Source organism: Homo sapiens, chromosome 10, assembly GCF_000001405.40.
Source record: "Homo sapiens chromosome 10, GRCh38.p14 Primary Assembly".
NCBI classification, from domain to species: Eukaryota; Metazoa; Chordata; class Mammalia; order Primates; family Hominidae; genus Homo; species Homo sapiens.
The window spans coordinates 100,535,923-100,563,916 of record NC_000010.11 but is presented as its reverse complement, the minus strand read 5'-3'; the positions used below and the strand labels follow the sequence as shown (position 1 = coordinate 100,563,916).

The 27,994-nt window shown below is 46.7% G+C and overlaps 1 protein-coding gene across 2 annotated transcripts, besides 4 other annotated features; it reads right to left on the bottom strand.

The window, feature by feature from the left end:
• Positions 732-1,369: an enhancer, noted in NCBI's record as "H3K27ac-H3K4me1 hESC enhancer chr10:102322305-102322942 (GRCh37/hg19 assembly coordinates)". NCBI's record gives its function as "activates a minimal SCP1, AML or CMV promoter by ChIP-STARR-seq in naive H9 embryonic stem cells {active_cell/tissue: H9 hESC(naive)}" and the evidence as "EXISTENCE:reporter gene assay evidence [ECO:0000049][PMID:30033119]".
• Positions 1,370-2,008: an enhancer, noted in NCBI's record as "H3K27ac-H3K4me1 hESC enhancer chr10:102321666-102322304 (GRCh37/hg19 assembly coordinates)". NCBI's record gives its function as "activates a minimal SCP1, AML or CMV promoter by ChIP-STARR-seq in naive H9 embryonic stem cells {active_cell/tissue: H9 hESC(naive)}" and the evidence as "EXISTENCE:reporter gene assay evidence [ECO:0000049][PMID:30033119]".
• Positions 1,372-1,421: an enhancer, noted in NCBI's record as "active region_3898". NCBI's record gives its function as "activates an Ori minimal core promoter by ATAC-STARR-seq in GM12878 lymphoblastoid cells {active_cell/tissue: GM12878}" and the evidence as "EXISTENCE:reporter gene assay evidence [ECO:0000049][PMID:35858748]".
• Positions 1,532-1,611: an enhancer, noted in NCBI's record as "active region_3897". NCBI's record gives its function as "activates an Ori minimal core promoter by ATAC-STARR-seq in GM12878 lymphoblastoid cells {active_cell/tissue: GM12878}" and the evidence as "EXISTENCE:reporter gene assay evidence [ECO:0000049][PMID:35858748]".
• HIF1AN (hypoxia inducible factor 1 subunit alpha inhibitor) lies at positions 3,919-27,974 on the bottom strand. Of its 2 annotated transcripts, none has more exons than XM_011539940.3 (8): positions 27,722-27,974; positions 27,256-27,506; positions 23,135-23,283; positions 18,821-18,966; positions 17,868-17,974; positions 17,336-17,399; positions 16,667-16,777; positions 3,919-15,824 (listed from the first exon to the last, which is right to left on the bottom strand). In XM_011539940.3, the coding sequence occupies exons 1-8, from the start codon at positions 27,956-27,958 to the stop codon at positions 15,780-15,782; spliced, it is 1,110 nt and encodes a 369-aa protein (XP_011538242.1). In that variant the 5' UTR covers positions 27,959-27,974; the 3' UTR covers positions 3,919-15,779. The 2 variants fall into 2 exon arrangements, with proteins under 2 accessions (XP_011538242.1, NP_060372.2); NM_017902.3 differs by having other exon boundaries at positions 27,782-27,974.

Sequence of the window (27,994 nt, the reverse complement as noted above, 5' to 3'; positions counted from 1 at the left end):
ATAAATTTTCCCCATTTAAAGATGCAGCTCTAGCTTCCCTCCTTCAAGGGGCCTTCTTTTATAGGCTCCTACCCACCTCTGAGCTCCCAGGTGTTCACCATCAAAGCTCACCACCCACCGCTTGACTCTGCTGTGTCTCTCCCTTCTCTAGGCAATGCACAAGTCCTGTCTCCACACCAGGTACTGGGATCCTCAGAGGCTTACGAAGCTCGGCCTTCACTTAAGGTGTCTACTCTCCAAGACCAAGCTGGGGAAGACAGCATCAGATGGTTTGTAAGTTCTCTTCCAGCTCCAATATTCAAGGATTTGGAATTTGAGGGTTCCTTCTATAACGTTCCTCTGGGAAAGTCTTCAGAGTGTCTTCAGTTAGCAGATATCCACATGTTTGTGAGCTGCTGACAAGAGTGCCCCCCTTTTGGGGAGTTGAGGCCCAAGAGAAACCAAGAGGATCATAAGATACTGTGTGTGGATGTAGGGGTGAGGGAAGTGTCCTGGAGACGAACTCCCTTGAAAATCTCCAATATGCTAACCTACACACACACACACACACACACACACACACACACACACACACACACACACAGTTCACCTAAACCCCCTGGAGGCAGAAACGTTCCCCTAGAAGCTCTTAAGGAGCATCCTCTTCCCCTCTTTCTCCAAAAAAGGGAATAGTCAGTATCCTGGGGCTCAGTGCCTCACCACAAACCACAAAGCATGGCTGCCCCCATGGGGCTTCACTGAGCATGGCAGCCTCCATTACCCGTCCTCCTGCCCCCATCAGGACAGAACCAACCTCCATCTCCAGCTCTCCAAGAAAAGGCCAACGGACTCCGCCGTTCCTCCAGTTCTTTCCCCTCTCCCACTCCTCCCAGTAGGCTGAGTCCACTCCCTGCAGCAATCCATCACCCTCAACACGCCCGTCCACCCACACCCCCACCTCCCCGCTCCTGAGCGGCACCCACACACATGGACGGTCCTCGGTTCATCTCGCCCTAGGTCTCCAACGCCCATCTGGAGCTTCCAGGGTGCGCCCGGATCCCAGCCCCGGCCGCCTCCTCCCGCCACCCGGGCCAGAGCTGCCTGAAGAGCAAGCCGGTGTCCTCGGCAGCCCCGCCCCGGGCTCTGAGGACTAGATCTCATCCCTAAACGAGGTCAGAGGACCACGGACCTCAGACTCACCTGGGAAACTGGTCACAAATACAAATTCCTGGGCCCCATCCAGAACTGCCGAATTATTCTGGCGGTGGAACCCGAAACCCGCCCTGCCTGCAGCCCCTCCGGCGAGCCCGAAACGGTACAGACCCAGGGCCCCGTCCGACGCCCGACCCCTCGCCCCAGTGCCCCCGAACGTGGCCGCCACTCTGCTTTGAACAGCGAAGGAACTCGAGACAGAGCCGAGCTGGGCTGCGGCCAGCCCACGGCCAGTCGGCGGAAGGTCGGGGGCCCCAGGCTCTTGCGCGGCCCCACAGACCCTTGCGTCAGAAGAGTGGCCCCCCGCGCCATGGGCTCTGCGGCCAGGAGGCCACGTGCGACGTCGCTCAGGCCGGAACACGTGGCTCCAGCAGAAGCCACATCTGGATTCTACACGTGCTGGGCTGCGGGCGAGGTTCTTCCACACCACAGGCGTCTTCTTGCCACCCAGGAGACCTGGGCCGGCAGCTTCCCTGCAGTGCGGGGCCCACGGGCTCCCCGCAGTGGGGAGTGCGAGAAACGCAACTGCGACCTCGCCGCGCACTCCGCTTCCGCCATTGGCTCAGGATCCCTGCGTGGAGCGAGGGCGCCACGCTGCGACTGCAGCAGGGACGGCACGTCCCAGGGGAGAGCGCGGGAAATATGGTGCGTGAGGTCCCAATTTCCAGGTTCCCTCCCACCTCAATGACTCGTTTTATAGCCGCCCCCTCAGGCTGACCTCTACCCTAGACCCCGTCTAACTAATCGCTAATCCCCTGACCTCAGGAAGGCCAGGGATGAGAGTCACAGGCCAATGCCTCTGGGCAGCCATAGGAAGTGAGGAAATGCAGACCCCAAATTTTCCCCTAAATCCTAGAAATATGCTCCAGATAAAAGTCTTTGCCTGGGTTCAGATTCTAGACTCCTGTCCTTCATTCCAGAAATTTCAGCACCATAGAATCACTGGCAAGTCTCGGACAGTATTCAGGCCCACTGCCATGGTGGCTTCCTATCAAAAATATTCTCATTTGTCACTGACCTTAGCAGGGGAAAAGACCTCAGAATTGGACCCAGTGCTCAGAGGTGGCCTGACCATCTCAGAAAGCAGTGGGGTAACACCTCCCTTGATCTGGCTGCTCCGTTTGGTTAATGCAATTCATGGCTGTGTTAGGATTTTAGCAGTCACATCACACAGTTGACTCATATTGAGCTTGCAGTCAACTAAACCCCCCAGGTCTTTTCTTCATGAACTGCTGTCAAGCTGGGCCAACCCCTACAACCGGTACTTATGTCATTGATTTTGTTTTAACCTAAGTGCAGGACTCTACATTTATCCCTGTTAAGTTTAATCTTGTTGGTTCCAGCCCAGTGTTCCAGCCTGTTGAAATCGTTTTGAATCCTGACTCTTTCATGCAAAGTATTAACTGCCCCTCCTAGCTCTATCACCTGCAAACTTGATGAGCCTGCTGCTTCGGTCAGTTGTCAATAAAAATGTCAGAGAGGACACAGGCCCAGACTGAGCCCTAAGGCATACTGCTGGAGACTTCCCTCTAGTCTAGGCTGACATGGATCCATTAATCAACCCTCACTGGGTCTGACTGTTCACCAAGCTTCCTAGCCATTTGGTTCAGATGCTTCTGCCACAACTAGATAACATGAGAGGCTTTGTCAGAAATTTGTCAGAGGCTTTGCTGGAAATTTCTCTTGCCCAGGCTGTGGCCCCCACATCAAGCTTAGGCCTTCTTTCTACCCTCCACACCCCACCATCATTTGTTTACTCATAACTTTAGGGGATTATATTTCCAATGGTGCCCCCTCCTGCATGACTTAATATTTCTGAGCTTCAGGATCACCTTGGGTGTGCCTTTGCTATTTCATATCCCATCATCCTATGCCTCCTCTGAGACCTCATTCTCTTAAATTCTCTGTCCTGCCACCTTCTCTGCCTATAAATGTGCAGTGGCCTCCCTTGCCTAAAAAGCTCTCTACTAGCTGCCCCCTTAAACTGTGGTTGGCTTCTGCCTCTGTCCTTCTTTTGAAAATCCAAACACTTCCAAACTCACCTTTCATGTCTCCTAAGCCTTTAGCAATCTGGGCTGCCAATCTCTCAGCTGAGCAACCATATTGCCCAAGCAGTGGACAGTGATGGTGGAGATAGAAGCAGAAGATTCACAACCACATCACAAAGATCAGATATGGTGGCTGCATAAAGCAGAGAGCCCAGGACCCCTCACAGACCAAAGTCAGGCTGCGGTCAAACTAGGCAGGTGACCAGAATGTTCAAAAGGACTGAGACATGAGGTCAGAGCCTAGGCAAAGTGCCTGGTCACAGACAAGAGCAGTGAACACTGAGAAGCCTGAGCCTGGGGACTTCTTACACAGTTGCTATAGGGGTTGGAATCAGTCCTGGAGCCAGGTCAGCTGGGAAGACAGCCTGGCTGGAGGGGGGAATGATGTGAACAGAGAGAGGTAGGGCCTACACTTTTCCTGAGCCCTTATTCTAGGCTGCCCAGCATCAGTTGTTAGCAACTCCAGAGTGCCTCAAGTTCAGGGCCATACCCTCAAATATCTATGTGGGCCAGACAGGTCACGTGAGTGAGATCTAGGGTACAACAGTGAAGAGTGGAGATTGACAAACTGAAAGGAACACAGCCAAGGGGGCAGTTGCTCTTCAGCTCCAGCCAACTGCTGTCACATGGGAAAGGCGATTTCATTACTGCCAGATCTGATTTTCCAAAGAGAGAAATCTTTTTAGGTCAAGTTTCTGATCTTTAATGTTGTCAATTTTTTAAAACTTTCAAAAACTTGTATTGGCCAAACAAAACCATGTCTGTGGCCGACTGGACTAGCGGTGGCCATCTTTTAACGGCTGCTAGTTACGTGGTACTTGTAGAGGCTAAGTGACTTGGGTGTGTGGTAATATTACATTTAGAACCCACTCTCTGAGTTTCTTAATGTCAATGAGAGTGACTTTGGGTTATATAGAAACAATTTATATTCATAAATTACTTTGGTTAAAAAATATATTCAAGGCCAGGCACAGTGGCTTATGCCTGTAATCCCAGAACTTTGGGAGGCTGAGGCAGGACTGCTTGAGCCCAGGTGTTCGAGATCCGCCTGGGCAATGAAGTGAGGCCCCTGTCTCTACAAAAAATAAAAAATTAGCCAGGTGTGGTGGCATGTGCCTGTGATCCCAGCTACATGGGAGGCTGAGGCAGGAGGATCACTTGAGTCCAGGAGGTTGAGGCTGCAGTGAGCCATGCTTGCCCCACTGCACTCCAGCCTGCGTCGAAAAGCAATGCCCTGTCTCAGAAAAGAGCAAACTATTCACCTCTTCAAAGTTACATATCCAAAATCCTCTCTTTTCTAAGCTTTTAAGTTCTGCTAACAAATCTTATTATTTTGCTTATAAAACAAAAAAGTTTAATGTTTGATCCAACTTACATTTAACTAAACTCCTTTAAACACTTAAATGGCATTTATATGATTAATGTATTTGATTTCCTTAAGTACTTAATTTATCTGACCAAGACAAAACCTGATCAAGTACTTATATTTCCAATAAATTAAGTTTATAAATACAGGAAATCTTAAGTTGTTCTAAATGTTCTAAAACTACAGAAAGACTTAGCAATGATTGTACCACTGTACTCCAGCCTGGGCAACAGAGTGAGACTCCGTCTCAAAAAAAAAAAAAAGAAACTTAGCAAAATTTCAACTTAAAATTCGAGTATAAATACACACTTTTTAGTTGGCATTACAAAGCAAACCTGTTACTCTCACAAATGCTCTTCCATATGTCAAGGACTTAAAATACAAACTGCATAGATCCTTACAGCAAATAGTAATGATGTGGGGGTTTGATGTTTTTAAACACACCTGTTCTTCATCCTAAGTCCTCCATCATTAAAAGATGCACACCTACCAAGGAAACACCTGATGCCACTGCATGTATTTTGGAGGTTATCTTCTCAGATGACTGAGATTGCAGAACAACCAGATATGTTGGTTGGGCCACTGACTAGACTGTGAAAGGACCCAGAAAGTGCTATTTGTGGCCTCATAAAGCCCTATCACATGGCCTCCATTACATAAAAAGGCAGTCAGTCAGCTCACATCCCTGAGTTTGACGCTATTCAGGGCCTAACTGCACTTTCTCACAGAAGTCTAGAATCCCATCTAGGCTGTCAGATACCTTGTCTCAGTGGCAAATTTCCTTGGCTGTCAAAACACAAAATGTCTTCTCATCTTGATGATTTCTGCTTTTTATTTCTAGGTGAACCACTGCTCTTAAGAGTGTTTGTTTTTTCAAGAGATGGGGTGTCACTATGCTGCCTAGGCTGATCTCAAACTCCTGGCCTCAAGCTTCCTCCTGACTCAAGCCTCCCAAAGTGTTGGGATTACAAGTGTGCACGACTGTGCCTAGCAACTCTTAAGTTTTTCAGATGAAACCTGGTTGAATGCAGGATTGCTGTAACAACTTTGACTTCTGGTCACAATTCCTAAGGTTCTCCTGACAGAATGCTGGCCTCCTCACCCTTAGTTCAGGGTCTTGTCCTCCGCTCCTCATTGCCTATCATCGTTTAGCTTTCCCCTCTAGAACACCCATCTTCTTTCTTGAGACTCTCACCTCTTAGCATCACCCTTTCTGCACCACACCCCCATGCCAACGATTCCCAGAGGTCCCTACTCCATCTCCAGTACTGTGGAGTCCTGCTCCCTTCTCCATGATTCTTCCCCATTCACACTCATGCTCCCTCTTACAGAACTGATCTCTCCTCAGAAAAGGGAAATCTGATGTTACTTGTTCACACTAAGACATGCACAGTTGAGTCCTCCTGTTTATGCTGGGTAAACGATGCTTCCTAAGAAGAAATGGAGGAAAAGAAACTAACATTTACTGAGCACTTACTAGGCACTAAGTTCTGAATTAACTTAGTTAGTTAATGAGTTGTCTCATTCATTCTCAATAGCCACATAAGAGGACCTATTAAGAAATCCAGGGCCAGGTGTGGTAGCTCGCACCTGTAATCCCAGCACTTTGGGAGGCCAAGGCAGGCAGATCACCTGAGGTCGGGAGTTCGAGACCAGCCTGACCAACATGGAGAAACCCCATCTCTACTAAAAATACAAAATTAGCCAGGCATGGTGGCGCACGCCTGAGTCCCAGCTACTCGGGAGGCTGAGGCAGAATTGCTTGAACCTGGAGGAGGTGGAGGTTGCAGTGAGCCAAGATCACGCCACTGCACTCCAGCCTGGGCAACAAGAGCGAAAACTCCATCTCAAAAAAACAAACAAACAAAATCTCCCGAAACCCCCACTCCCAATATCTCAACAACCAGCATTTATATAGTGCTCAGTTTACATAGTATTTCCACACACATTGGCAGGTCATCATATTATTAACCAATTTTTTTAAATGAGGGGACCGAAGCATAGCGAGATGAACACCCCCAAAGGCACCCAGCCTGTGCAAAGTCCACTGACATTCTCACTTAGGTTCACTGGCCAGAAGCTTGTGTTCTCTCCACTCAGCCACACTGTGTCCTCCACAGACATCCTCCTGCCCCATTTCCTTTACTCTTCTGGGAATCAGATGGCAACCCAGAACCAAGGTCTCTGTTCCTGTTCCTCAAGACCCTGCCCTATTAAACCCTTTCTGTCCCCAGCCCAGCACTTCATGGACTTTCAGTCCCTTCCACAACTTTATCTTTTCCATCTTGCTTTTCCTGCCCCAGTCATCTCTTCTGTGATTTCACTTCAAGCACCATTATCTTGAGAGTCAGAGTAGGATCAGAAAAGCCTTGCTGCTGTAGTCTCTCCAGACACTAAGGAAACACTTTTCAGAGACACTTGGTCTTCATAATAAAACATTTTCCTGAGTGCTTGAGCCAGGTGTTTTAAAAACATTATCACGAGCCCTTATAACAATGCTACAAGTTATGTGCTATTTCCTACCCCTCACAGAGGAAGAGGTTGAGACCCAGAGACACTGACTTACCTAAGGTTAGAATTAGCTAGTGGCAAATGGTGATTCAAACCCAGGAGTCACCTCCAAAGCCTCTGTTCTTGTCAGTGCATCACACAAACCCTTGTGAGAACAATGACCATGCAGACTGTAGGTGGGGTTTTGTTCAAATATGATCAAAAATTCACAATTCAAAAACTTGGAGGCAACGTTCTTAAATCCATGGTCCTACCTCTAGACTAGCAAGGCAGACTCTGACAATCTCTACCCATCAGTAACCTCTGACTCTTACTAGCATGACAGCCTCTGTGACAATCTCGTCTCCTGCATCCTTGTGCACATCCCAGGGTCTCCTTCTTGCCTTCTGACTGTGCTGCTGGCTCATACAAACCTTCAATGCCTCTTTAGGAACTGTCCTTTTATCTCCTTGGGGAGCAGCAGCTCCAATGTCTTATTTTCACCCAGTATGTTTCAGGTATTTTTAGTATTGTTAAAAATATTTTTGGAAGGTCATTCCCCACTGATGGCATAGGTGATAGTATCCTTGTAAGCATCAGAGGTTACTGACAGGGGTAGGAACTGGTAACACAAGCATGAGTTGACACTTATACCTCTGCTCTGCTCAGGAGCTGACAACTAGATATGCCCTGAGACTAGAAACAGGAACTTAGACAGAAAGCTAGATGGGGAAGAGAGGTAAAGACTGAGAGACACAGAAAGACTGAGCCCTTGCTATGGACCGGTCATTCTGCTAAGCCTTACCCTGACAATGTAAATGATGTCTTCCCCATACATATAAACAAGTCAAGTTTCGGGCAGTTTGTCCATTTGCCCAAAGTCATGCAGAATGGCAGATCCAGGTATGCAGACTCCACTCTCAACCACTACACTATATTGCACTATATATATTCAAGAGGTAATAAAAACCTGGCCCAAGCTTAGCTTAGATGATGGGTTAAGGAGCACAGCTTTCCTGATAGTTCTGACCTCAATGACCAAGTGAATAGGTTTTAAGTAAACGGAATAAAACAGCAAAATTAGCTAGAGCCAAAGAGAAGGTTTCCAAGGCCCAGAGCCAGTTATCTAGAAGGAAAGACGTGACTGCAAGGTGACTACAGAATGGCCTGTAGCCCAGAGGGATGGGTTGGCACAAGCTAAAGAGGTATCTTCTTCACCCACAAAGCTAGGGACCAGGGTCTGAGGCAAGAGGATCTGAGTATTTATAGAGAACTGCAGGGAGACTTGGCTTATAGTGAGGAGGAGAGGTGGCTGGGCGTGGGGATAGACCCAAGAGATTAATGGGATCATGATGTGGAAAGGGCTGAGAATTCCAGCCAGCCATAATACATCTCAGGCTGAAGTCTGAGTAGCTTGATTCAACATTTCTTCCAAGTAGGGTCTGGCAGGGTGGCTCCAGAGGCCAGAACACAAATGAGAACGGTGGAGGGCTACAAATAAGCAAGTCCAATCTACGTCCACTCCAGGACAAATCTGAGCCAGCAACCAAGACTTTCAGATTTCTGTGACTAACCAAAGGGTTTTCTTCTTGGGATCTACTGTCTCACCCATTCCCTGGAGTAAGGTACGACAAAACCCTTAGGCATTGGGAAGCAGTGTTTGTTTTGGACTGCTGGACTGGAAGAAAGAGAAGCTAAGGGGGAAATCCCCCAACCTCTGGTTAATTATTCATCTTCCACATATCAGCTTGGACTTATCACTTTCTGCAGGAAGCCTACCATAAAAAACTGGACATAGTGCAATGCTTCTCCTCTATACACCATAATTCTAACTGCCTGCCTGTCTCCCCTACTGATCTGAGAGCACCACATGGGGACGAACTAATACAGTGCCTGGAACAGAAGTGTTCAACAAATGGTAGCTATTAACATCCCACTCATATTTTTCTGAATTTTGATTGCCCTTCTCCCCTAGAACAATCTTAACATACTCATAATTTTTTTTTTTTTTTTTTGAGAGGGAGTCTCACTGTAGTCACCCAGGCTGGAGTGCAATGACGTGATCTCAGCTCACTGCAACCTCCGCCTCCCAGGTTCAAGTGATTCTCCTGTCTCAGCCTCCCGAGTAGCTGGGATTACAGGTACCCACCACCACATCTGGCTAATTTTTGTATTTTTAGTAGAGACAGGGTTTCACCATGTTGGCCAGGATAGTCTCAAACTCCTGACCTCAGGTGATCCACCCACCTCAGCCTCCCAAAGTGCTGGGATTACAGGCGTGAGGTAATCCTCCCAGGTGTCTGGTCCATATTTGTAATTTTTAAAAAATTATTTTCAAAAAAAATTATTAAGAGAAGGGGTCTCACTATGCTGCCCAAGGTTGGTTCGAACTCCTGGGCTCAAGTGATCCTCCTGCCTCAGCCTCCCGAAGTGCTGGGATTACAGGTGTGAGCCACCACACCTGGCCAACACTTATATAATTTAAATACATGGAAAGGCATGGACTAAAATTGAATCAAGAGGGGCCTGATTTGACTGCTATTACATTTCATGGTGTGAGGAGACAACAGCTTCTCCAGGTATAATAAGGACTCATTCGGCTCCACGGCCTCTCACACAGTGCAAGGGGAGCTCAGACCTGAAACCTTCTCACCCAAGGCCCTGGGCTGGTAGTACAGCAGTAAAGTCTGGCTGCCCAGGCAGAAGAGGCATAAGACACTTCCTGTTTCTCTTCCTCTAGGGTGAGTTTAGGTACTAGACTCTTCTGTCTACCCTCAACTCAATATGGTTTATCTAAGGTGTTTCTCGTTTTTCCCTATGCTTTTCTTGAGAGAGAAAGAACCACTGGAAATCTGTTTAGAGATCACTGAAACCAAGTTTCTGAATAAATCACATAATAAATATAACCACCACCACCACAGCCATTTATTAAGTGCTTGCCAGGCACTGTGCTAAAGCTTTACAAACATTGTTTCAGTTATTCCAACAACCCTGAGGTAGATATTTTCAACATGCCTCCCTCCACCCATGTTATTATAGTTGAGGAAACTGAGGCTCAGAGAGGTTAAGTAAATCAACCAAGGTCAAACCCAGCTGGTAAGTAGTGAAGCTAGAAATTCAAACCAACTATATGTGACTCCAAAATCCATGCCTTTAAACACTATCCTAGATTGTTTACCATTGAAAGTTAAAGGACATATGCTCCTTCCCAAAATATGAGAATAGATTTTCAGTGGGAAAGCAGGGGGGAGCCCATATGTAAATTCTTTCATCAGCTATGGGACTCAAACTCTTGGAGGAGTGGAGAGATAGTCTGGGTATAAGCTGACCACTAGGTCCTCTCATCTCTCCAGCTGCCAGGGCCTTTCTCATTAAGATCTCTACTCCTGACATCTGACTACGCAATATACTGTTTCCCTTTCAGCAACCACTGGGATGCAGAGGTCAGGCACATTTGGTGACACAGAGCCAAAGACACCTCAGAGAAATTAGGAGACACTCAAAAAAGTCCACCACCCCTGAACTACTGATCCCTAAGGCACACAGATGCATTTAGATGGAAACCCTCCATGAAGGGGACATGTTCCACGTCATGTTTGATGCCCATCACCACCCTGCAAAGGGGATATTGGTATCTCCTTCTGACAGCTCAGTTCTTCCACACCAGCTTCCCGGGCCTGACATCATTCTCACAAAGTCTCCTCAGCAATCCCTGCACCTCTCCCCTCAACTGGCCCTTGTAGGTGCCCACCCCTAACCCACCTCTGGAGGCCTCACTGACCACACGCCCCCAGGCCTCAAGACTTCCCGTTTCTGAGGTTGTGCCCAACAGAAATGCCCTCAAAGTGCTCAGCAAGGCTCCATTCATCCATGACCTATGAGGATTAAACCAAGATGGCTGAAGACAAGCAGAAGGGGCTACCACAGTGAGACAAGCTGAACCAGGATGTACAGAACTGACAATGGAAGGGCAAGAACACACAGCAGACACAAAACAAGAGGACTAGCCATGGGCAAAATAAACAGAGCTGTCAAAAATCAGAAAAGGGAGACGGCCCTAAGATGATCAGGGATGACCAGAGAGAGGGATCCTAAAGACAAGTCTATTCACACTTGCAGCCATGGAGTTTCTGAGGGAAGGACAACTGTTTAGGAAAAAGGGTCTTGGTAAGGAGGCCGCTGGAGAGACTAGGCAGGAGACAGCTGAATAAGGGAAACTGCAGGCAGCTCTGGAGAGGGAGGCTGGAACATCCCTTTAGAGCCAACAGTTTGAGAAGACATCAGAGAAGTATGCAGGCAGTGGAAGACAAGCAGCTGAAGGTCTCAAAGGGGAGTAAGACACCAGCTGAAAGGCCAGACTCTGGAGCCCTGAGCTACTTCTAGGTATACCTCATCATCTACCCCATCTGGGTGAAACTGGTCCCTGAGGGTCATTCCCTGCAGCCCCTGCTAAATTCTGTACCAGATTTTGAAGGGTGGAAGACCCAGAGGTAGGGAACCTACTGAGAGGCGAGACGCAGCCCCATTTTTGGGAAGTTCCCATTCTGAAAGAGAGAACCACCAACCCGCATTCCTTCATCCTTGGATCCTCTAAGGCACTCACTGCATTCAAGTCACAAAACTGAGGAAGAAATACTAGTATAAATTAATACTGTCCTTGAAGTTTGAAAGGACAGCAGAATATGAGAAGTAACACAGAGACATGGGAAGAGCCAAGGTGGGCTGCTCCACACCTGAAGACTCATCCTATTACTGAACCTCAGCACTGTTTACACATCTGGCCTCAGAGGCCTCAGAGCCCCTCCACACAGCCACAGCTGCACTGATGTGGGGTTGTGGGGACATCAACGTTGCTAGGAAGCGTAGAGTAGCGAGGCCCTCTCGGGGGAGCCCAGAGGCTTACAAGGAGCCTGGGTAGAGCTTTGCTCTCTACTGGTTTCCTCCTCTCTCAACAGTCCCTAATCTTGTCCACACAGGGTGCACGATATACAAGTGTGGCCTTATAACCTCTGGTTGCTTCATGTAATTTCTTCCCCAACTAAGCAGAAGCTCCTGGGATTTGATAAGGACCAGATTTTCCTCACGCCCTACAGTGCTGGAATGTAACAAGTACTTGTCACAGGTGGGCTATGAGGGGTGTTGACTATTACAAAAACATTTTCCACAAATGGCAAACACATGTCAAAACTTTTCCACTGTTATTCTTTGCCTTATAGCTTGTACCTGACACTCATCTATTTCTATCTTTGTTGGCTCATGCCCAAAGATGTCTGTTCCTATATCCATCTCAGGCTGGCAACTGGGTCCCTAATCTTTGTTAAGAAATACAAGCTCTGCCCACTTGTGGCAATACTGAAAGAGGATGTAGCCCAGGAGTCTCTGGGGGCAGAGGGAGGGAGTGTCTCCCCATACTGGGCTGGCCCACTGATAAGGATCCTTCCCCTCTCTGTCTCCTAACAGATTCAGATTAATGATCGCTCATTCCTAATTGTCAAATTTCTTTTCCTTCATCCTGTGTCTAATCACCAGTGACAGAAACCATTACGCAAATGAGAGCAGACGACTTCCCCCAACTGTTCACGTTGGTAAAAACCTTGTAATTTAGAGCTCTGATTTGTAGGGGAAGCTGGTCTCCCCCAGGCATCCTGGGCATCTGCTCAACTGATGCCCAGAACAGCCCCTCCTCCAACCCCAGAACTCCAACCCCCAACAAATATTTGACTTTACAAAACACTAGTTTTCTCTGTACCTGCTGGTGTGAATAGATGAGCCTGCAGCGTAGCTGACCTCTATACAGGCCCAAACCCCCACCTTCACTTGCTGTATGTGTGTGTCCCACACTGCCAGCTAGGATGGAGGTAAACAACTACAGCAGAAATGTTTCCTCTGTGGCAAGCAGAATTTGAGCCTAAACATCCCTCAAAAGGTAATCGAAGGGGAAAAACCTCATCTTTTCCTTGGGGGGAAGCAGCAGCTGAATATGAACCAAGACCCTTAGTGCCATCTAGAACTACAGCTTCAGTTCTATAGATGCAAAAGCATGCCGGGAGGAGTTATGGGTCCTATTCAAGGACACATAAGTAATGCAATTAGACACAGAACTCAGTTCCCCCCACAGCTTCTTCTAGCACTAATTCATAATATGGCTTCCCAGGCAGTTTTTCCAAGACTTTGTTAGCAGGAGCCCAGAAGAACTTTCACCCTGAGCTGTATATTCTGCACCATCTTGGGCTGGGTCTGCCTTCAGATACTGCCCAGTGGGGTGATATCTTGAGGACAGAACCTGTGGTACAAGGAGGGAGGTAAGGAAGGAAAATCAACATAGTTTGGTGGAAAGGAAGGAGCAAGGGGTTTGCAGCCTAACAGTGCTAAGTTACAACTGATTGTCACTAATCACCTAATCTCTCTGAGCCCATTTATTCATCTGTAAGTGAGAATACCTACCTTGCAGGATAGTGAGGAACAAAGAGAAAAGCACTAGGCACATATTAGGTGTCTAAAAATCAGGAATCACTCTTGTGTTACCCAAGGATCAAGGCCAATCCTGTGAAGGTTCCAAGATTAGCCTTCTCCCTCCCACCCCTCAGCCACCTTAGTGAGACCTGTGTCAGCAAATAACTCAGCAAGGACCAGCTGAGTGCATGCCTCCTTGACACATCACCCACATCTTTGAGCGCTGAGCGAGGAATACAGCAGACCTGCTGAGGAGAACGAAAATAATCTACTATCTTTCCAAGTGTGACTGTGGCCAAGTTTTTCCTCCGCTCCTGTGCTCCTCTTTCCCAAAAGAAGTGGAGAGATAGAGATCACTGCAATCACATTTCCCAGCATTGACTATATTTGAAAGAGCTACACTTGAGAAGGTACCATATCTTCACATCCACACTGCATCAGAGAACCCCAGAATGGGGTACTAAAAATAAACACCCCTCCCCAAAAAACGCACTCAGGCATGCACACACATCCACACGCATCCTCTCAGTTCATCAGTGCACTATAACTGAGCTTCAGGGGTGAGAGCCAGAGCTCAGATGCTGGAAGTAAACCTTTGGCAAAAAAAAAAAAAAAGAAAAGAAAACCAGAGACCTTCCAACTCCTCTTCCCTTCCAGAGAGAAGGTGATGAAGACAGGAGCAGAGGTGAGGAGACACAGGGCCACCACACTGCCCAATCCCAGGGACCCCACTCCCACTGAATAGATGTGAATGATGGCCCTTCAAGTTGTGCAATCACAGCTGCCCACCTGTAAGCTGCAGCCCTGAGAGGGGTTCCCAGGAGTAGCTCCTAACAGAAAAGGAAATTCGACTTCCATGCTCCACCAGTTGCCCTGACTATTGAGGGTGTTGTGGCACATTACAACGGGGTCTGGCAGAGGAGCTGGCTTTAAGACGCAAGCCTATGTGTTTGCCCGTGCCCTGAGGTGGATCACAGGTAGTGAATGAGCTGCCTGGGCTTGACCCCATTTCATCTATTCAGCCAGGAAGCTCAGCAGGAATAAAGGATATGGCCTGGGCAGGGAGCATCATAGGGCCTGGAGGCTCTAGCCAGTTAGCCTCGGGCAGGCTGCAGTGAGACCTGGCCAACATATGATGGCTAAAATCCAAGTGTAAAAGCTTAGGATAGGTCAGGCAGTACTTCCCGGGGGCTCACACTGTACTGTCCCACTGGAAAAGGTAAGCAGTGGAGAACCTTGGTAAGTAGGGAGGCTGGCCAGTGTGGACACACACACACACACACACGGACACACACACACACACGCACGCACACACACACACACACCCAGAGGCTTGCACCCCTAGTGTGGATACGCACACACAGACACACACAAACAAACACACAGAGGCTTGCACCCCTAGAACCTAGAGAAGCCACAGCTAGGAGAACTCCCTTGGTACCCAGCATAGGGGCAAGAGCTGGTGCTGAAAGAGAGAAACTATATGTGTCTCTAATTTAGAACTTATGCACAATCATTGGTTCTTATGTCCCAAGGTCCTTTTATGTATGGCTTGAGCTTGTAGGCCCAGTTGGAACCCTATCTAATCCTCTCTCACAGGAAGGCTATATAGGCTCTCAAAGGCAAGCCTCCCCTCTCTTTCACCCCATTAGAGTCCCGGTAGCCATTCCCATACCGCCTAGAGCTTGACTACGCAAAAACTGTCAGGAGGCAGACTGACCTAATGGTCAGACTAGCTCTGGCCCTGCAGCCCAGATGCAGTGGGGAGTCCAAGAGCATCTCATCTCTCTCTCAGGCTGAGGCACTGAGGTTGCAGGAGATAGGGCTGAGAGCCGGAAGTGACAGCCTGACCCAGAAGGAACAGGGAACAGATACATACATGCGTGTGCATGCACACACACGCACACATTCCGAAGTTGACAGACTAACATACACACAGACATGATGACAACCAAAAGCTGGGACTCCACACACTGAATGCAGGACTTTAGGCGGGGGGCAGAGAGAGAAGGTGCTGGGGCACAAGAGGCAAGGGTATGAAGTCCCTCCAAATAGGAGTGGAGTGCCAACTGCCCTGCCTCGCTCCAAACACCTGACTCCTGGGCCATGGCAAGAGTCCAGTCCATTAAGTGCAGCGTGCAATACTAGCGCTTGGAGTCTCCTGTCCTCATCAATGAAGCGGTGTGGACGGGATAGCAGTCACCTGGCAGGAGGCCTTGACCCCTGGCAGGCTAGTTGTATCGGCCCTTGATCATTGTGTTCAACAAGGGCCCCACCTGTAAAGAAACATGAGGAGCCAATCAGAACTGGCTGTTCCCTGGCCCTGGAATTGGACAGGGTGTGTCTGGAGACATCAGATGTCCAGCCAAGGACAGAGACAATGTTTTCATACAATCTTGTGAATCCTCTAATCACCTATCTTCCTGAAGGTCAACCCAGTATTCTGGGACATAGTCTTTCCCTCAGGGGTCCATCTTGTACTATTATTCTTCTCTCGCACAACACCGTCTCTTACCGTAATCTGCCCCAAACGGACAGACATGGTCAGAGAAGCTAATAATCCCCGAACACCCAAGAGTGTCTATATGTTTCTCCAGAATGTTAACTGCCTCCATATCCTCAAAAAATGATCATCTGCAACTGGGGCTGATGCTATCTCCCAACACCACAGGTGTCTGTGGATGCTGAGGTTACCTCCAAGAGGCAAGCAAGAACCCTACAAATACAAACCTCCCCCATTTACCCAATGGGCCACTGGCACACCTGCATGGGAAGCAGGTCTCTCAACATTACCTACAGCAGCCCTGGCACAGCTGGGAAAGTGCAAGGAGATGTGTTAGTGCTCGCTTCCTGTTCCAGAAGAATCCCCTCAGGGGGTCCCCAGATGGTACATAATACCCATGGGGAACATTACTACTAGCATGGAACTAATTATAATTGATCTGCCAGTCAAGCCCAGCTATCACCAGAAAACAAGAATTTTTCTGAACATACCCATAACCTCTATGGAGAGAGAGGACACCAGACACTGAAACACAGAAGCTGTAAAGAATGTCGCTCTGATCCTGACTTTCCTTGGTCAACCCACCCACTGAGCCACCTTGGGGCAGTCACCTACCTCTTGTGGGTTCCCCAAGGCCTCTCCAAGCATCTTCTCAATGTTTCTCATTATGGCCACTTTCTGATGAGCTTTGAGAGGATATTCAATTCTCTTAGGGGTGGGAGCCCCCTACAAAGGAAGCAGTAGCTCAGGAAATGCCTTTAGCAGCAGGCGTCAGTGTCACTCTACTGTTCTTAGTACCATCCTCCCTTCTAAGAAACCCAATTCTTGCCGGGCACGGTGACTCAGGCCTATAATCCCAGCACTTTGGGAGGCCGAGGCGGGTGGATCACTTGAGGTCAGGAGTTTGAGACCAGCCTGGCCAACATGGTGAAACCCCATCTCTACTAAAGATACAAAAATTAGCCAGGCATGGTGGTGTGTGCCTATAATCCCAACTACTCGGGAGGCTGAGGCAGGAGAATCACTTGAACCCGGGAGGCAGAAGTTGCAGTGAGCCGAGATCACGCCACTGCACTCCAGCCTGGGGAATAGAGCAAGACTCTGTCTCAAAAAATATATTTAAAAAAAAGAAACCCAATTCAATCCTGTCCCTTTCATCTCCCCAGACACCTGACAATCACTTCCAGGGATAGTCAACCATCCCATCCAAAATCATTTATTATACCTACCTCACCCAAGAGCCAGTTCCATCTGGAAAAAACAAAAAAAGCAAACCATATTCACCTTATACCAGAAGTTCACAGTGATGGTAATCCCCCCATTTAGTAATGACTCTATGTGATGCCACCTGCAAGAAAACAAACAGGCTCCTGTTTACTACTGATACTTTTGGCGGGGGCGGAGGGGCGAAGTGCGGGGGGGTGGCAGGGTTGGGCTGAAAAACTAGGTGGAGTCCAGTTACGGAAAATAGTGAAGACAATATCTTTACACTCATCCTGTGAAAAAAACACACACTTGGGGGTTAGAGGTACTGGTGTTCAGTCTCGAAATACCAAAGAGCCAAGAACAGTTTTTCTAGGCTCAAGCCTCCGGAATCTCTTTGGACTTGAAGAACCGTCATCCTGTCCTAGAGACAGGGCTATCATTCCCGCCACTATCCCCCACAGGTTCAGTACGCTCATGTCTGGATATGCCAACCTTCCTATAGACCACATAAAACCAATCATGCCATAACTCAGAAGCGACACAGACAAGGCTTTCCAGGGAATGGAAAAGAAAGCTCCCAAAAAGCCCCCAGCCCTAGCCCCCTTCTCACCAGTACATTGGGATGTAAAGAACATCACCAGGGCCAACCACTGTTTCGTAACCAACCACATTTTGGAAATTAGGGAACCTCTCGTAGTCGGGATTGTCAAAGTCCACCTAAGAGGTTCAAGAGAAAGAAAAAAAATATCAATCACCAAATCTTCACCAGTAAAACTACTATATGCCAGTTTGGCAGTAAAAACAAACAAACAAACAAAAAAAAAACGATGCCTTAAAAAAAGTATTTGGAATTTATATCCAGCAGAAGATATAATGCACATTAAACCCTGAGAGAGAACAATATAAGACAGTCCACATTTGAATGTTAAGTGATAAAGAATCCTAGGCTTCAGTGCTCCTGAGGTCAGACGACCTACTCCACAGCTGAGGATATGAGGAATTAGGAATTATCCTCCACCTAAACCTTCAGAAACTTTTCCCAAAAACATATTCTAACCAGCAAAGACTCCCACATGAAGTAGCTAGACAGCTTTCTGAAGAAAGGAAAGGATATCTTTGGCTGGCCACAGTTAACCACATACCTCATTTAGATCTAGGAAATACATTAAACAACATAGCTCAGTTTTATTCACCCTTCTTATCAAAAAGAAATAGCATCCATGACAAAAGCAAACAATGATTAAATCCAATGGAGACATACACATTTTGTTCCATAAACTTATAAGCCAATCAAACAGAGTAACCAGAGTCCATCAGCATCAATGACAGTGTCTGTCCTGAGAATTAGCTCTGTGGGGCTAGTTATACTTACAAACATCTGGTGGCCACTCCAGGGAGCCTGGAATATGTGAGCTACAATGAAATTACCCTCTTGGTGTGTTAAGGCAAGAACAGCCTGTAATCCGAACCTGGCATATCACTACGGGGAAGGGGAAAGACATTCCAGCCTAGGCATTACTAGAATCTAGAGTTCTATACCCTTCTCAGACCACACAAGCTCACCTGGCTCTGTCTGTCACATGGGTGATGAACAGGGTATGGGTAGAGGCACTCGAACTGATCCGGAGGGAATAAGATGCATCGTTTGTAACCTTTTATCTGAGCAAAAAAGTTCTGCTGCTCATCATAGTGAGCAGGTGTCACATTTCCTGTAAGAAGAAAGGCATTTTCTTATGCAGAGCAGTGGTTCTATTGCATAAGCTGGAATACAGGACCCAGTGCTAAAGAGAAACCCAGCCTGCCCTCCCAGCTAAAAGTTCCAAATCAAAATTTAGGCAGAATCAGGGAAATTCCAATTACAACTCTCAGAAAATTAGGTGTTAAGCTTGTATGGTAATAACTCTAGCAAACATCACTGGTTAAGGGTCCACTATCAGCTAAGTCAACTTCCCTAAATGAAGGCTGCTGCCCTTACTGGAAGCAAGAGCACATCAAAATGATCCTCAAAAATCAGGTAGGGTAATCAACTGTGTACACCGTGTACTCTTCTTGACTACGGCAGGAATTCAAGGAAAGCAAAACAGAAATGACTGGTATCAACAACATATACATGAGGAGTTAACCAGTCATTCTAAGTTGTATGATTATGTAGCTCTGTATTTATTTTGGGTAGCTCTGTGGAACTCAAAGATTCTCAACCTTTCCTCCCACTTCAATACACCTAACGAATGCAATACTTGTTTTTTTAAGAGATGGGGTTTCACCACGTTGCCCAGGCTGGTCTCCAACTTCTGGGCTCAAGTGACCTGTCCACCTCAGCCTCCCAAAGTGTTAGCATTACAGGCGTGAGCCACCACATCTAGCCAAGACAACACTTCTTAAAGCAACATTGGGGCTCACTGGTGCAAGTGATTTTCATTGGAGGAAAGAATATCAGATGACTGAAGAGAGTGCTGTGTAATTTAAATATGGCACATTATTTTAAATGCCACCTTGAATTAGTTGTGCCCTAGTGTATGTTCCATCTACTCCTTTCTAACTAGGACCACGTGTGTTGTTTGGCCTTTGCACAGTCCATGAGTTGAACACACACTTTTGCAGGGCATGGAATTTAGACAATCTTCCCCAGCTCTGTCTGGGTATGCCAAGACAGATGCTTTCTTAAGTGATGAGAGTCCACATGCATCCTCAAAGCAGACTTGCTCTCTCATCTCTACCTGAGGGATCCACTTCCATGCACCCTACCACAGGAAACGCAGGCAACAGAAAGACATAAGAGTCAAGTAAACTGCCGGGCGCAGCGGCTCACGCCTGTAATGCCAGCACTTTGGGAGGCCAAGGCGGGGGATCATGAGGTCAGGAGATTGAGACCATCCTGGCTAACACGGTGAAACTCCGTCTCTATTATAACTATAAAACAATTAGCCGGGCGTGGTGGCGGGCGCCTACAGTCCCAGCTACTTGGGAGGCTGAGGCAGAAGAATGGTGTGAACCGGAAGGCAGAGCTTGCAGTGAGCTGAGATCACGCCATTGCACTCCAGTCTGGGCGACAGAGCGAGACTCTGTCTCAAAAAAAAGAGTCAAGTAAACCAGAACTGGCTCTTTCTTGGCAGGTCAACCAAGAGTTGGTTTCAAAGGGGCAGGTAAGACTAGCCACAGTGGCTCACGTCTGTAATCCCAACACTTTAGGGGGCCAAGGTGAGAGGATCACTTAGGGGGCCAAGGTGAGAGGGGGCCAGGAGTTCGAGACCAGTCCGGGCAACATAGGGAGACCCCCATCTCTACAGAAAAATACTTTAAAAATTAGCCAAGCATGGTGGCTTACGCCTGTAGTCCTAGCTACTTGGAAGGGTGAGGTGGGAGGATCGTTTGAGACTGGGAGGTCAAGGCTGCAGTGAGCCCTGATCATGCCACTGCACACCAGCATGGGTGACAGAGTGAGACACTGTCTCAATAAAAAACAAAAACAAAAACAAAAAAAGAGGCAGGTGGTATCAATTCACAAGCCACATGGCCGGAAATCTTTATTAGTACCAGCAGCAAAGGATCCAAATCTGAAGAACAGACAATCAAACAAGAAGAAACCAAGGAGCTAAGTGGTGAATGACAATAAATAACTTCTCTGTTTCCTTGTTCAACCCAGGTTATTCACCATTTACTAAGTACCTACCATGGGCCTGGCATTGAGCTACTGCGAGAAATAAAAATAAGAATGAGACAATGACCCTGCCTCATAAAAAGCTCTCATTCTCCTGAGTGGAGTTTAAGGGCCTCTCCTTTCATTCAAAAGAAAAAAAAAAAAAAAAAAAAAAACACATTCACATATTTATTAGTGTATGCATAAATTTCTCTAGCAGAAAACACAAGCAACTAATAATATGCAGTACCTCCAGGGAGGAAATTGGGAGGCTAAGAGACAGGGGTAGTTATCACTATGTACCTATTTACACCTTTTGAATTCGAACTCCATGAATGTATTATCTATTTAAAAGATAAAGTTGAATTTGCCAGGCGCGGTGGCTCACGCCTGTAATCCCAGCACTTTGGGAGGCCGGGGCAGGTGGATCATGAGGTCAGGATATCGAGACCATCCTGGCTAACACGGTGAAACCCCATCTCTACTAAAAGTACAAAAAAAATTAGCCAGGTGTGGTGGCGGGCGCCCGTAGTCCCAGCTACTTGGGAGGCTGAGGTGGGAGAATGGCGTGAACCTGGGAGGCGGAGCTTGTAGTGAGCCGAGATCGCGCCACTGCACTCCAGCCTGGGCGACAGAGCGAGACTCTGTCTCAAAAATAAATAAATAAATAAAAACAATAAAGTTGAATTTACACTAAAAAAATAAGTTTCTCCTCTTTCACAGGGACAAAAATTGTCTGAATATAGACAGATCTAGTAGAGAAAAGTGGTACAGTCATGTGCCACATGATGACATTTTAGTCGACAACAGATTGCATCTACGATAGTGCTCCCATAAGATTATGATGGAGCAGCCCTATACAGGTATACCGTTTTTTATCTTTTTTTTTTTTGGCAATAAAAAAATTCCCAAACTACCATTTTTTAACCTTTATATACTTTTTTCTTTTGTCACCTTTTTCCTGCAGTATCTGATACCGTACTTTTACTATACCTTTTCTATATTTAGGTATGTTTAGATACACAAATACTTACCATTGTGTTAGAATTGACTATAATATTCAGCACAGTAATATGCTAACACCATGTAGTACATGGTTTAGTCAGAGGCTACACCATATAGCCTAGGCATATAGAAGGCTACACAATCTAGGTTTGTGTAACTATACTCTATGGTGTTTGCACAATGATGAAGTCACCTAACAACACATTTCTCAGAACGTATCCCTGACATTAAGCATCACATGTCTGTATTTCAGAGAGGTCCCTAATATCTCAGTATACACACTCACATAACAGCTGAGGAAGGGAAAAGGGAACTTTTTAGAATACACGAAACTAGCTTAAAGACTCGACATAAGCCGGGTATGGTGGCACACGCCTGTAGTGTCAGCTACTTGGGAGCTAAAGCAGGAGAATCACTTGAACACGGGAGGCGGAGGTTGCAGTGAGCCGAGACCACACAACTGCACTCCAGCCTAGGCAACAGAGTGAGACTCTGTCTCAAAAAAACAAAACAACAACAACAAAAAAAAACAGACTCGACATACATTATTTCATTTAATCTTCACAACTTCACAACTATTTACAAGACATTATCATGTTTCATTTCTTTTCATTTTTCCTTTTTTAAGCAATAGGATCTCACTCTGTTGCCCAGGCTGCAGTGCAGTGGTGCAATCATAGTTCACTGTAGCCTCAAACTTCTGGCTTCAAGCAATCCTCCTGCCTTGGCCTCCCAAAGTGCTGGGATTACAAATATGAGCTACCATGCCTGGCCCTATTATGTTTCTTTTTCTTTCTTTTGAGACAGAGTCTTGCTCTGTCGCCAGGCTGGAGTGCAGTGGCGTGATCTTGGCTCACTGCAACCTCCACCGCCTGGGTTCAAGCAATTCCCCTCTCTCAGCCTCCCGAGTAGCTGGGACTACAGGCACGCACCACCATGCCCAGCTGATTTGTTTTCTTTGTATTTTAGTAGAGACGGGGTTTCATGATGTTGGCCGGGATGGTCTCCATCTCCTGACCTCATCATCCACCCACCTTGGCCTCCCAAACTGCTGGGATTACAGGCGTGAGCCACGGCATCCAGCCCCTATTATGTTTCTTTTAGAGCTGAGTAGGCTGAGGCTTAAGAAAGTGAAGTGGCTTGTTCAAAGTCATGGAGCTAATAAGCGGTGAAGACAGGATTAGAAATCAGGTTCATATGACTCCAAGCCATGCTGCTTTTGAAAGATTTCTTACCTTCCATGCCAATGAGCAGCAGGTTAGAGGTAAGCTGCCCCCAGCCACGCTTTCCCTGTTGCTTATTAATCCAGTTCCAGTTAAAACCTAAGAAGTCCATGACAATCTTCCTGCCCACAGTGTCATTGAGCGTTTGCTGCAGATACAACCTATGTTCCCCAAGAAGAAAATCCTATTAGTGCATGCACACACAGCCCCTGGCATGGCCTCTCCACATCTGAAAATCCAAGCCCAAATCCATACCAGCATCTCCCACAGAGAACAGATGTAGTCAGGCAAATTTTAGCCAACATGGATTCTCATACAACTGAATTCTTACTTATCCTTCATTGAGTTATGTTCAACACCAAATTTTTTAATTTACTGGTTTTTCTTTGTTTTGTTTAAAGAAACAAGGTCTCAATATGTTGTCCAGGTTGGTCTTAAACTCTTGGGCTCAAGCAATCCTCCTGCTTCTGCCTCCCAAAGTGCTGGGATTACAGGTGTGAGACACTGCATCTGGCCCCCAAACTTTTTCTTTAAAGAAGTGATGCTTAACCTTTTTTGGGTCACAGAATGACTCCTTTAAGAATCCAAAGAGTAGGAGGGTGAGATGAAAAATAAAATTAAAAAAAAAAAAAAGAACCTGGAGAAGAAGTCCCAGCTACTCAGGAGGCTGAGGCAGGAGAATCACTTGAACCTGGGAGGCAGAGGTTGCAGTGAGCTGAGATCGTGCCATTGCACTCCAGCCTGGGTGACAAGAGCAAGACACCATCTCAAAAAATATAAATACATAAATAAATAAATAAAAGAATCCACGGAGGTTCCCCATAAAAATGCACATACACCCAGAACTTTCACACAATTTCAGACTCCTAGAAGCCTATCCACAGACCCTAGAATGATGAATCAGTCTCACTCCAGAGACTCGCAGAGCCTGAGACATCTCCGTTGGCCCTTGATGACCACTGTGGTAAATTGTATTACTGTTCACCAAGAGCTGGTTCCCTCAGTGTGCGAGTTTTCTTTCACATCCCCTTGAAGCCAGGCTTGCTTATTTACGCTGCTCTGGCCAAGGAAATGTCCACAGAAGCGACTTGTGTTGTTTCCAACTGTAATTTAAGAACAAGTTACCACTACCACATCTCTTTCCTTCTGCCACAGCAACTCCAAAGTTCTAGATAGTAGCTGCTGGGGCAATCTGGGTGCCAGAGCAAGTAAGATGATGTAAAGAACAATATGACATTACCCATGATCAACATGTAGTAAGTGAGAAATAAGCCTCTGTTGTTTCTAGCCCGAGCTCTGGCTTGAAGCCTAGTTTATCTTAACTGATTCAGCCACCTATCCTGTTGCAGCCTTCTACAGCTAAAGTAAGGAAGATAGCTTATTAGGTAAAGGCCTCAGGCTCCTAACATACCTGAGGAAGGTCATAAGTTACTTAAGAGATATGAAAACCCAGACACACTTGAACAAGCCCACAAGAGACATTTAATAAGTGTGCAAACCTAAAAAAAAGACAGAAGCATCTCTGTCCTGGTCCTGAGATCATTATTTCAAAAGGCTCAAAGAGGCCAGGTGCGGTGTCTCACGCCTGTAATCCCAGCACTTGGAGAGGCCAAGGGAGGTGGATTGCCTAAGCTCAGGAGTTCGAGACCAGCCTGGGCAACATGGCAAAACCTTATGTATTTAAATAAATAAATTGGTTATTAAAAATACACAAAATTAGCTGGGCATGGTGGTGGCAGCACATGCCTGTGGTCCCTGCTACTTGACAGGCTGACGTGGGAGGATCGCTTGAGCCTGGGAGGTGAAGGTTGCAGTAAGCTGAGATCATGCCACTGCACTCCAGCCTGGGTGACAGAGCAAGACCCTGTCTCAAAAAAAAAAAAAAAAAAGAAAGGTTCAAAGGCATCTCATCTCACTGCCTAGAATCACAATGTTTAAGGCAATGTTAATCAGAAATCTTTTTTTTTTTTTTTTTTGAGACGGAGTCTCACTGTCACCCAGGCTGGAGTGCAGTGGCGCAATCTTGGCTCACTGCAACCTCTGCCTCCTGAGTTCAAGCAATTCTCCTGCCTCAGTCTCCCAAGTAGCTGAGACTACAGGCACGTGCCACCATGCCCAGCTAATTTTTGTATTTTTAGTAGAGACGGGGTTTCACCACGTTAGCCACGCTGGTCTCGAACTCCTGACCTCAGGTGATCTGCCTCCCGAAGTGCTGAGATTACAGGTGTGAGCTACCATGCCCAGCCTTAATAGGAAATCTTGATGAGTTGGAAACACTACCTTTGTAGGAACATGAAATCCTCAAGACTCAATGCAACGCTCCCCAAAGATAATAATTATATATTCACCCAAAAAATATGCAAGTAACTTTGAAAGAGTCAGTGATACTGCCCATATATGAATCTAAACAATATTATGATTACACCAGAATGGTTAATGCTCAAAATAGCTCAGAGGATCCTAATACATTTCACCCCATAGTCGCCACAACCTGTCCAATCAGGTTGAAGTGAAGCTGACTGGTGAAGCTGCTCGGTGCTAAAGTCAGCTGATAGGGTAAAACTTCCAAACAATTAAAGATTTTCCTTGAAAACTCTTTAATCACCCATAAAGTACAGATTACACTCATTCTTATGCAAAATGCTCTCACTATGGGACACAAGAAACTTCAAGCGACTGAAGAACCACAAGATTCACATATCTTATGCTTATTCTTGGGTATATGTTCATTCAATGGAATTACACACTCCAACAGCATCATTTAAATCAATCTTTCTCTCAATGTTGGGTGTGTGTATATGGAAGTGTGCACACACACACTGTGTTAAATTTTAGAAAATTAATGCATGAGATAACTGAACCAATATATTAAGACATCATGGACAGATCGACCACAGTTCATATCTTGGAAACTCTTCTGGTCAAAAATCCCATCATTATGACAACTGCTAAGTGTTAAGAAGAAGAAAAAAAGATATTTCAAATCCATTCACTTAGCCACAGACTGCTGATAAGGAGTCAGGAACAGGAGTGAGTGAAGCAAGAGACTAGAGAGAAACCCAGGGTTGGACACCAAATGCGAGAGGGTAATTCACCGTGAAGTACTGAGCGAAAGCAATTCCCCAGAGGCAGTGTTATAGTGTGGGACTGAATACTGTCTCGGACCTACATAAGAGGCTGTCCTCATAAGCAGGAATAAAAGCAGAGAGGAAGAATCACTGTCTTGTGTGTCTTGTGTTGCTGTTGTGATAGGAAAAACAAATTTAATCTGATCTTCCCTAAGCTAGAGAATCCTAACCTTCTTTACTGCAGAATCACAACAAACTATACAACTTTTCAGGTTGAACTATCCTCAGTCATCACAATACTTAAGGACAATGGCTACAAACAGGCATTTTCAGAGCTAAATCCAGTGACAAACATTTTTGTTTGGCCCCCTGCAACTTTTTTTCTTTAAATCTGATTTAGTTGCTCCATTTAAAGTCAAAAGATTTTAAATAAAAATCCTGATTTTGAACTTCTCTTGAAAATCGGAATATCTCCCAACCCTAGAACTGCACTCCAAAACTGAAGCAAGCAGAGTCAAGTAATGACCTCTCACCATGGTTTTTTGTTTTAGTTTTTAATTTTGCAGAGACTAGCTCTCACCACGTTTCCCAGGCTGGTCTTGAACTCCTGGACTCAAGCAATCCTCCCACCTCGGCCTCCCAAAGTGCTGGGATTACAGGCATGAGCCACCCCCGCCGGCCTTGGCTTCTCACTTTGAACAAGGCTTATGCCTTCAGCCTCATCACTGATTTCACACAGACGATATTACTCCTTCCATTCACCTGCCTGACCCTTCTAGGCAACTAACTCTTTATGAGGAAGAAGATGGGAACCCAGAGATTCATAGCTCAAGTTTAATCATTCCCTCATCCCTCAAGCTACAGAACTAGCTGGCTGTAGCACCAAGAACCACTAAGAACTCAAACCCCTTAAAGGCTGGAAGACCAGACTACTCCTTCAACTGGAATCCAGAGATGGGAGAGGCCAATCTCTAATTGACCCAATTCTGCCACACCTTCAAACAAGTATAGGAAAGAAAAATGAGTGTCCTAAATCCAACAGAAAATTAAGCTTTCGGAATTTACCTCTCTTCCCCTCCTCGCTGCTGTATATCCTGCAGTTTCTCAACGAACTCATGAAATTTCATTTCTTCCCTGTTGGACCTCGGCTTAAAGTTCTGGAAATTGGCCATCTTCTTCTCATCATAGTACAAGAACTTGTGGGTGCTGGCACTGTACACAGAGAAGTCTCCATTGCCAATATTCTCTTGCAGGTATTCAAGGTCCCATTTCAGGGCAGGATACACAAGATTTGTGTCGGTCAGCACCACAGGCTCCTAAATGAAAACAACAGGTGAAAAACACCAAATGAAGTAATGCCAAGGAGCCGGTGGGTTGGCCTCCATGATCCCAACTACTTCTCAACTTCAGAATAATTTCTCCTGTTAATCAGCACGAACCCCTAAGTTCCGTATCTCCTCGCCTTTCTCTCCATCTTCCCATAGGCCCTAGTCTAGAGCCCTGCCAGTCTCCCATCTCTTTCACCATTCACCTCTGACCTCTCAACCGGGTACCTTCCTCCTCTCCCTTTAGACGCGGCCCCGCCCCCCACCTCATTCTCAATAAGCTCCTCTGCCCGGGGGTCGCTCTGACTCAGACGCGGAATGGGCCTAGTCGGGAAGCTATAACTGCGCAACTGGGATTCATCCCAGGCGGGGCCGAGGGCTCCAGCCTCCTCCCGGGGCTCTCCAGAGCCAGAGGCCACAGCCTCCGCCGCTGTCGCCGCCATCTCCGCCGCCAGGGACGGCCCCCACCGGAACCGGAA